We start from the raw sequence: 10,776 nt of genomic DNA on the forward strand, positions 1-10,776 counted from the left end.
ATGATAATTCTTGTTTTATAGAATCAATACTTCTTTAGATTTGTCTATATGTTTACCAACTTTTTTGTTCACTATAGTTTCTCACATCCCACTACTAACCTCTGGGTTCAGTTCTTTTTTCCTGAAAAGCATCCATTAGTAGGCTTTTCAGTGAGGGCCTGCAAGTATGCGTCTGCTGTTCTTATGAAAATCTCATTATTTCATTCTCACTTTTGAATTATACTTTATCTGGGTGTGGAATTTTAGTTGGCAGTTGCTTTCTCTCAGTACTTTGAAGATGGTCCAGTTGTCATCTGACCTCTCTTATTGCTGATGAAAAGTCTGTACTTTTAAATATTTTTCCTTTGTGAGTAATCTGTCTTTTACTACTGGCTGCTTTTATTATCCGTTGGGTTCTGCAATTCCTTGACACTTAATAGACTATGAAGTGTCTAGATGTGGATTTCTTTTTATTTGTCCTGTTAGGAATTCTTATTTCTTGAATATGAGAAGTCATGATTTTCATCAAGAACATGGATAGTTCTTAACTGTTATCTCTTTAAATATTGCCTCTTCCTCATTCTTTATTCTTTCCATTCAGAAATTTATATTTGGTACTTTCTCTTTCTTCCTGAAACATTTATTAAACTCCCATTTATATTTCCATCTCTTTTTCTTTCTGTCCTGCAATTTGGGGAATATTCTCAAAATGGTCTTCCAGTTGACTAATTATCTCTGTGGCTGTGTTTAATATGCCCACCCACTGAGTTTTTAATTTTGGTGAGTCTACTTTTCTGTTCTAGAAGTTCCACTTGGCTCATTTAAAGGTTCACCTGGTCTTTTTAGAAGGCATTTTTGTTTTTTCATACATTTAATATTTTCTTTTGTCTTTAATAATTAAGACACATTTATTTTACAGTATTTATCGATAGTTCTATTATCAGAATTCTTAGGAGTTTACTGCAACTACTAGTTAATTACAGATTTTTTTTTCCTCCGAGTTTCATCTTCAGAGGGTCTTTATGGAAATCTAGTGCTATATGGATTAAGCACGTAATATTCAAGGATTTTGTGTTTGCTTCTGCCAGACATTTTAGGGATATCACTGGGATAAAACTGCTCTTCCTGAGGATCCTATGAGGAGCACAAACATGAAGCCCAAGCTTCCAAGAAGGCAGACAAATGGTTAAAAAATTTTAGAGGATTTTTTTCCCACATCTAAATCATAGACAGAGAAAGTAGGCAATTGAATATTATTCGATTTCATTTTTGCACTTAGATCATATCCCACGATACTGGAATTATGAAGGGAAATAAATTCCATGGACCATTGATATTTTTGGTGGGGAATATATTTCATCGCCCATGTCTGGTCTCTTGTTTCCACATGGGCACTGAGACTCAAGCTTCCTGATTTCTGAGTTTGAGAAACCCCTGTATACTATGAGACCATTTAAAACATAACTGCTTACATTCATGGGGGCTCAACCAACTTCTTTTACATCATGGAAAATTCAACAAAAAGAGAGAAACTTGATGTTTTTAAATGATAACTTAGGCATTCTGCTGAACTCTGTGTAAGCATCATCCCATTAATCCGCAGTGCAACCCTAAAGGTGGTATTACTATTCTCACTTTTACAGGTGAGGGAACAAAGCTTCAGAGAGGTTAAGTGATTTTTTTCCAAGATCACACAGCTAGTTACTAGCAGTGGCAGGCTTTAATCCTAAATTTGATAGATACCATAGTCCAGGTGTTCCCTCATTTTATGTATGTGTATATATATATACACCTCTGCTCTGGTCTTCAGTAGACCCTCTAACTGTTACATCTATGGCCCCTATCCACCTTGGCTTTGGCAGGATTTCCTCTTGTTCCTTGACTCCTTTGTTAGAAACTTCCTCTGTTGGCTTCCTGAGTTCTGTCCATTCTTCATCTATGTCTTTACTTTCCATCTCTTTCTCCTTTTCATATCTAAAGTGAAGGTATTTTTCCACTTCCCTCATCTTCCCCTAGACTCTTCTCTCCTTTTGCTCCTTTTCCTCCTGGTGGGCTCACCAGTCCCTTAGCTTTGACCTCCACCTCTAAGCAGGTGACTCTTGAATTTCCATTTCCAGCTCAGTCCTCCCACTCCAACTTCAGACCCCTGTGTACAATCACCTACCAGACATCTGTACATGGATGACTAACAGGGACCTCAAATTCAATGTACTCACATCCCTACTCATCATCTTTCTCCTGAAACCTGCCTGGATCTCATCACAGTGAGTACTCTACTTCCTACCCATGCGTAGAGCTCTGGTCTCCTCATACTTCCCACAGATTATACATCACCTCACAAAATATCTCTACCCACAGTTCATTCTAAGATCCCAGTGTTCATGTGGTCTCCTTCCATGGCCTTGATCTTGCTGTTTCTCTCTCCTTGAATGCCTCTCTTTGCTTTTCCCTACTCTTACTTCTGGTTTTCAAAACCTTGCCCAACCTACTTGGTCCACCTCAAATTTAACTCCTATATGAAGCCATTCCTTATCTCTGCCTCCTTTAAACAAATCCCTTGGTAAATTTTAACAGATGCTGTCTGTGCCCATATCCTCTTGCTCTTTCCATCTTAGTGCATTCTGGCTCAATTTCCAAGTACCAGCCCCCATATTTATTTTCCAGAGGGGTTTCTCTGGTCACTGGTAGCTTTGTCCTTCATACAGCGGGCTAGAAGTATGGGTATGTTAACATTCCCTACAAACAGCTTCAACCAATACATACCCAGCTCCTCATTCTTGGGTAAAATGACTGAGCAGGGGTCTTATGTTGGTCCCTGGATAGTCTCTAGTCAGATTCTAAACTGTAGTTGCCTACAGTGGTAACTGTCTTGTTAGGGCACCCACTGATGGCCCTCCCTTCCTTGTCTCAGGTCCCCACTTCTGGAAATACCTCTTAAATAGACAACTTCACTTACATCCTTGTCTCAGGGCCTGCTCTGGAAGGCTCTAGCTAGGATGCATGTGGCCTGTGGCCATCCCAGCACACTCACATTCAGCGTTGTTTTTTGATGCTGTTCATCCTTCTGTTTCCAGCCTTGGTGGAGCCCTGCCCATCAAGGATGATGAGGGAATGGTGGTTCAATGAAAAGGCCCTGGAGCCTACAGATATAAGTTAGGGACTGCTTGTGGTGTGTGCTGTATGTCAGAAGGCCACTCAGCACAGACTGTGTGTGTGTGCATGTATGTGTGTGTATATGTGTGCGTGTGTGTGCATGTGTGTATGTGTGCATGCATGTGTGCATGTGTGTACGTGCATGTGTGTGTATGCATGCATGTGCTTGTGCTATTGAAGCCATGCGAGCAAGAGAACACCCAGAAGAGAGAGGTAGGGGGAAGTGGAGTCCTCAGTGGTGGAGGCCCAGCATGGGGAGGCCTGATAGACAGTGGCAGAAAAATAGTTCCAGAAAGCTAAGCTGAGGCAGATGAGGCTGAAAGTCGAAGGTGAGAAGGAGGGTTTTACCTTTTAAAAAGTAAGCAATGAACTAGAACCTTGAAGAATACTATCCCAACCTGAGCATGCCAACTTCGTCTTCTGCCCCAGGGAGGCCCCACTTCACTTGCAAGGTTTCTTCAGGCCAGTAGCACCAGGATCCTTGGGTTCTGGGCCCCTTCCTGCCCATCAGCACTCATTCTTGGTGACCCAGTGCCCTTCCCAAGGGCCTAAGACCCACCCAGCAACCAGACAGGAGGGCCAGGCCTCCTCAACACCCTGATCTCTAGCTCAGGCACTTCACAAATGTCTGCTCTGCATCGCCCCTGTCTTCACCTCTGAGTCATTCTTGACTCACTCCAGTCCTTTCCCCTCTGTCCCTCCAGGACAGGCCTGGAAGCCAGTGGGACTGGGAATTGTTCTGAGTGGAGAGAGTGTTTCAGGCCCTCGTGCTGACCTCCACCCTCCTGCAGGCTGGAATTGTATGAACAGCACACTCCTTCCAGTGAATACACCATACTCACCCACATGTGCCTCAGCCAGCAGCCCTGGGCCTGGAGGATTGGGAGGCAACAGCATTTACCAAGGAGATGGGGCAAGGCCAGGATGCCCCAAAAGGCTGGACTGGGCGCCAGCATCTGTCTGGGATGACCTCTTACCTGCTTCTGAGGCAGGGACCTAAGGCTCTTTTTCGGCCAGCCCGGGGAGGAAATGGGACTTCTGCAGAAGATTCAAGCTCTATAAAGATAACCCATGCTAGAGAGAGGCAGATGGGAGCAGCATGGAAGAAAGGAAGTTCTTTGGCTTAGGAAGAATGGTCCCTGCAACTCTGCCCATTAAACTCAGAGATTTAAACAGGGTAGGAGCTGCCTGGATTTAGGCTAAGCATCAAGAAAGGACCTCATGAAAAAATCAATGAACGAGGCAATGTTGAACACCTGCTCTGAAACGCTGCGTTATTAGGCCACTTGTGACAGAAACAAGGGAAGAAGCCATCCTTACCCACAGGAAGGAGGCATCCTTACTTACAAGTGTCTTCTCCCATGCCCTAGGGACCTCCCCACAGACCCTTCCTCCACCCCTGCATCCCTGGGGTCAGAGGCAGGAGGCTTTTCTCCTGGCAAAGGCTGGTCTCTCCTTCCATGTCCTTCAGCCAGGACACTCTGGTTCCTTCCCATCCCTTTAGGTCACTGCTATGATGCCAATCTCCTCCCAGGAACGCTGGGTCTAAATCAGGCCCTCCTCAACACCACTGTGTCCCCTTATCACCCCCAAAGGAAATTATATTATGCATTGACTTATTCACTTATCAATTGTCTGCCCCCACTAAAATCTAATTCCCATGAAAGTAAAGATGTTGTCTTATTCCCTTTGGTATCCCTGACATTCAGACAGTGCCTGGAACAGAGGAAGAATTATTCCAGGAGGTACAAAGGGGTGGCCTCCATCCATGGAAGCTCACAGTCTTTAGAGGAGGGAGAACTCTACATCAATGAAAGAGCTAGAGAGCAGCTTAACACTAGGAAAGGGTGTCATGGGGCTTGTCTCGGCAGTTGAAGAAAGGCTTTCTGGAGTAGGTGAACCTTCCATGGGACCCAGAATGATAGGAATGAGTGAGGAGAGAAGGAGGGAGTGGCATGCCAAGTGGGGAGCCCTTCTACATAGGCCGATTGGCCATGATGAGTAGTGTGTGGGGTACAGGGGGGAGGCTTGGGAGGCTGGAGCAGTGAGAAGGTGTGGTGGCTTTGTAGAATGGCCTCTACCTGTGTTCTCTTCCCCAGTGCGCCACCATCCTTGGAAGCCAGTGTGTTGTTCATTGTAACAGCAATGGTGGCATAAATAATATGGTGGTAGTTTTGGGCAGGAGGGAAGACAGGGGACTCTCAGGAGAGCTGAGTTGTAGTCTTACTCTGGTCATTCATACACTGTGCGGGTCACCTGGCCAATCCAATCCTTTGTTTTCTCATCTGTAAGGCCAATGATTCATTTATTTACTCACCAAACATTTCTTGAGCACTGACTGTGTACCAAGTACTGTCCAAGACACTGGGAACAAAGTCAGGTCCTAGCCGGACATGGTCCCTTTCTGCTGGAGCTTGCAATCTGCTGGGAAAGCCACACGTCAAATAACCTACCTACAAATTCATCATTTCATATTTCAGCAGTGTTACGAAGGGAAGGTGCCAGGTGCTAGGTGGAGGAATAGCAAGAGAACTCATTTAGAATGTGGATCAGGAAGGGCCTTCTGAGGAGGGGATATTTTATCTGAGACCTGAGATGAGAAGACATCAACCAGGGGAAAAATGGAGGAAAAAGTCTTCCAGACAAGAGAACAACAGGGGCAAAGGCCTAGAGATAGGAGAAAGCTTGTCTTGTTCAAAAACATGACAAGTGGCTGACATGGCAGGAGTGAGACTAGAGGGAGCGGGTGGGACCAGACCATGCACAGCCTTGAGAACCATGGTCAGGAGTTTGAACTTTATCACGAAGCAGCTGAAAACCTACTGCAGGATTCTAAGCAAGGTGGTAGCATAACCCAGTCAATACCTTAAGAAGATGACCCTGTCTGCTCAGTGGAGGACAGGGTAGGGTTGCAGCATAGGCAGGAGATGATGGAGGCTTAGACAGGGGTAGTGGTGGTAGAGATGGAAAGAAGTGAGGTGAGTGAATCCTGGACACATCTGGGAGGTGGAATCCATAGGTTCTGGTAGTGGATGGATATGGCAGGTGAGGGAGGGGAACCAAGGGTCACTTGCAGGTTTCTGACATGGTTCAGAGAGGCCTGTGAAAGGGATAAGGAGCCTGGGGGAGGAAGAGATATAGGGGCAAGATGGAGAGCTCAGTTTTGGACATGCTAAGACACAAGTAGCTGTGGTGTTTCCAAGTAGAACATCTTGAAGACAGTCTGGAGCACAGAAGAATGTTCTGGGCATGAGGGCAAATTTAAGAATCAGGGCATATGGTATTCAGAGCCAAAAGGTGAGACTTCCATGGCCTGCATCCCAGTAAAAGTAAAAGGATCATGGATTCATGGATGGTAGAGGAGCTTTGCCACATTCCACAGCATCAGCAGGAGTGAGGGTGAAAAGGTGCAGGCAGCTGGCTAGAGTCATGGGATCTCAGCCTCCCTGTTTCATCTGAGGCATTAGGTTGACAGACTCGTAGTGAGTCTGTTGGTGTGAGTGGGAGTCTTAGTGCCTGAGGAGTGGCGGGGAGGAGCCATTGGGTATTTTGAGAGGAAGATGAGGGGTAGCAGAGAGGCTTGAGCAAGGAGGCAGGGCTGATGAGGATAGAATCAACGGACTGCTGGATCAAAGAGCCAGGCAGCTGACCCTTAAGGGGCTCTGGCAAATGCCATATCAAAAAAAAAGAAAAAAAAAAAAAAGAATTGTAACCAGTCTTGCTCTAATTGGAGAGCTCAATAATCTCCTTCTCCTCCCTCTCCCGTTCCCCTTTCTTCATCTTATTGTTTTTTAAACTAGAGATCAAATTGGCTCTCTGGCCCTGCCACTAGATTGCACCTGAGGAACCCAGACCAAGGGTTTGGCCAAGAAAGCCAAAGGGGAAGAGACTTCATGAGATGTGGGAATTGCAGGCAGGGGGTTATAGGGGAGGGAAGAGGTAGGGGCTGGGAAGGGCTGCAGCAGGGGTGAAGCTGTGGCAGCGGACTCAACTCAGCAGACCATCTCCTTCTAGTCACTCTTCCCTGGAGTGTCCCTTCGACAGGGACAAGGTTTGAATGAGAGGCCCTCAGAGGAAGATGCTCAGGCCCCAGGCCCAGGGACCTGAGCTGAAATCTGCTGCCTGAGGGAAGTTTGAAAAAGCTTGCCCTGATGGTAACTGTGAAGCTGTGATTACTCAGGGCTCCCGGCAGAGCTCCTGGCAAAAATCATAGGAAGTGACTGGTATGGTAATTAGTGTGACTGAGAAGTCCAAGTCCTGGTTGAGATCCAGGGTGGGGTTCTTTCCATTGTTCTGTTTCTCATCTCCTCAGCCACAGCTGGAACCTCTACCAGTCTCTGCAGGCTGAGTTTGACCCCAATTCCAGTGTGGCAGGGACCACTAACTGTTGCCCAATATCTGCTCTCCCCACCTTCTAGGTACATGGGAGGTGGCACTTCTCCATTCCTTAGGAATTAAGAGGGACCATGTGGCTTGCTTTGACTGAAGATATGTGAGCAGAAGTGTTGTGTGCCCCTCTGGTTAATCAAACTTGCCTGGCCATGCTCAGCTCTCCACCTCTGTCTTGTTGCAGCAGCTGTGTAGGCACCTGCTGATGTGGAGGGGCCATGTTAAGACATTGCACAGAAGAGCCTGCCAGGAGAGTCACCCAGACCTGCTATGTTAAGTCACTGATACTGAGGGCTATTTGTTACCATATCATCACTTTGCTTATGCTGACTGATACCAAACTGACTGCTATGTGGCTTCTGTGGGGCAGAGACGGAAAGTGGATAAAAGATAGAAGAGTTATCTTCCAGAAGTCTATAACACCCAGGGTTAATAATTTTTCTTTGGAGTTAATTCTGATCTGCAAGAACAAATTAACTAGAAAAGTGACAGTGGGAGGAATTCTGATGAATAGTGACCATTAGATAGCCAGTGAGATTTCCAAAAACTCTGAGAAAAATAGTCACTCATTAGTTCATGCATTCTGTTGGTTCTTCTACATTTATTCATAGGACAGTTGTGAGTGCCGGGCACTATGCTGCAACAGAGGAGATGGAGATTAGAATGGAAGGCCACTGCCTTTGAGAAGGCAAAGCCTAATAGAGGGCAGAGGCCCTTACAACCCCAGAATCTTGAGACAGATATGGTAAGGCTGAGGCAGGAAGATTGCTTGAGCCCAGGAGTTCGAGATCAGCCTGGGCAACAGAGTGAGACCTCGTCTTTACAAAAAATAAAAAAAATTAGCCAGGTGTGGTGGTGCATACCTGTAGTCCCAGCTACTCAGGAGGCTGAGACAGGAGGATCACTTGGGCCTGGAAGGTTGAGGCTGCAGTGAACCAAGCCATGGTTGTGCCACTGCACTCCAGCCTGGGTGAAAGAGCAAGACTCTGTCTCAGAAAAGAAACACAGAGAGAAGGGGGGTGGGGGCGGGGGGAGAGAGAGAGGCTTCCAGGGAAATCTTGAATGATTTTGATGAAGAAAGGAAAGAAAAAGCTTAAACTGAGATGTGAGAGGTGCAGAAACAAAAGGAAGAAAGAGAATCACAGCCCAGGTTGAGAAAACTCCAAGTGGCATTTCTGTGTCAGTCGCTCTTATGTTGCTATAAAGGAATACCTGAGGCTGAGTAACTTATAAAGAAAAGAGGTTTAATTGGCTCATGGTTCTGCAAGCTGCATAGGAAGCATGGTGCCAGCCACTGCTTCTAGTGAGGCCTCAGGAAACTTCCAATCATGATGGAAGGTGAAGGGAAGCCAGCATGTCCCATGGTGAGAGCGGGAGCAAGAGAGAGAGAAAGGGAGTGGTCTCCGACCCTTCTAAACAACTAGATCACATGAGAATTAATTGAGCAAGAACTCACCTATTACCAAGGCAATGATACTAAGCCAATCATGAGGGATCTGCCCATGACCCAATCACCTCCCCCCAGGCCCCACCTAGGAATCACATTTCAACAGGAAGTTTGGAGGGGACAAACATTGAAATCATATCAATCTCAGTCGCTAATTCCATGGACATTTACTGAGCATGTACTATGTGCCAGGCATGGTTCTAAATGTTAGGAGGATACAGCGTACACAAGGCAGGCCTGGAGATAATCAGTATTGGATATTGATATGAGAAATGTGTAATAAGGGTTATGAGAAAGGGGTTAATACAGAATGAGTGGCTCTGCCTGGGCATTCGGGAAAGGCCTTTATGTGTGCAGACTGCAAACGGGTTCACCGTTCACTCATTCATTCATTTAACCTCCTTTTAGGCCCTGTAAGCCTAGAAGGGGGCTGTCTGGGAGGGGCTGTGCCCTGACGCAAGGGCCCAGAGTCAGGCTGAACTGGGGCAGGCGTCTCCCCAGGGGGCAGGAGCACTGTAGCTGTGGGAATCTTGCATCCTGGTGACAAGGAGAAGCCACCAGCCTGAGCTGAGCCACACATTAAGGGACAAAGTGAGGGCTTTGGAAAGAAATGAGTCACATTGTCAGCATCTGAAAAGACAGGAGTCAGGTCGGAAAGGAGGGCGTAGGGGCCTGAAGAGCTGTTAGGAGCAGGCTCACCACGTCCAGAGCCTTGATGTGGCTGCATACAGGGGAGGGAGTTGCTGACCACAATTTTCTGGATCGATTTGGACTAAGAAAATTTTGTCAAATTTTAAAAATCACAAAAATAGACCTATTTTTGCTTAAAAAAAAAAAAAGAAAGAAAAGGAAAAACCACTGGAGAGAAGGGTCAGATACTTCTCTAAAATGGGCAGATGTTATTATGTGAGCTTTGGTGAGTACCAGGGAGCATCAACCCTCACCACCCTGTGCATGAGCAGTGCAAGGTCGTGTCTCAAGGCAGAAAGCAGGGATCCTGACCACTGAGTCTGGATGGTCACCGGGCAGCCGCCGAGAGCTGAGCTTCCCTGACTGGGGCCGTGAGACTGCCTGGCTCACACCTTGCGGAGGACTGAGACTCCCCACCCCCATGGCCTTCTGAAACTGCTGCAGACAAGGTTGCTTTCCACAGGCCCGGCTTCTGGGGGCCCTGGAACCCAGTGCCCAGACTTCTCTTCTCAGGCCAGGGCTATGGGGCTGTCACAGCACTTTTCACATGTGTGTGCGATTTCTTGGTTTATGTTGGTCTTTTTCTGTCTTTAATTAAATTCCTTTTGGAAAAAATCCATTTCCACAGCACCAAGGGATTAAAAGTTCTCAGTTTTGTTTTTGATTTTTGTTTTTACTCCATCTGTGCCATGGCTCGGGGCCCTTAGTGACTGACTTTCATGTTGGGGACAGCAGGCACCTGACTGAGCTGTGGGCGAGCAGGGGAATGGTGTTGAGTGAGGTGACAACTTGAGACCAGACAGGTGGCAAAGCTAATGAAAATTTTGCCCCCTTACTTCCATACACTGACCCTAAATGGCCACCCTCTTCAAAAAGGACCAGAGCCCCAAATACACACTGCTGTCAGCCCTGATCCCTCTTTAGTCCCTCCCTCCGAGACCCTCCCCTCTCGTCCTGTGTGGCCAAGTCCCAGCCTGGACACTCTGTCTTCAAAGGTAAAAAACAAAGCCGGCTTGTTGCTCCATATTTGTCTTGGGAGTGCTTGTTCCTAGGAGAGCCTCCTGGCCTCCCAGGCCAGGAATAGCACCAGTCTACAAGGCCAGCCTGGCTGCCCTGCC

At 46.8% G+C, this 10,776-nt stretch overlaps 2 annotated features.

Annotated features, from left to right (window-relative positions):
* Positions 3,353–3,535: a silencer, noted in NCBI's record as "fragment chr2:72070213-72070395 (GRCh37/hg19 assembly coordinates)". NCBI's record gives its function as "represses an EF-1alpha promoter that drives an FKBP-Casp9 reporter gene in an ReSE screen in HepG2 liver carcinoma cells {active_cell/tissue: HepG2}" and the evidence as "EXISTENCE:reporter gene assay evidence [ECO:0000049][PMID:32094911]".
* Positions 9,449–9,743: a silencer, noted in NCBI's record as "tiled region #1897; K562 Repressive non-DNase unmatched - State 21:Repr". NCBI's record gives its function as "represses a minimal TATA promoter and a strong SV40 promoter by Sharpr-MPRA in K562 cells {active_cell/tissue: K562}" and the evidence as "EXISTENCE:reporter gene assay evidence [ECO:0000049][PMID:27701403]".

This window comes from Homo sapiens, chromosome 2 (assembly GCF_000001405.40).
Source record: "Homo sapiens chromosome 2, GRCh38.p14 Primary Assembly".
Taxonomy (NCBI): Eukaryota; Metazoa; Chordata; class Mammalia; order Primates; family Hominidae; genus Homo; species Homo sapiens.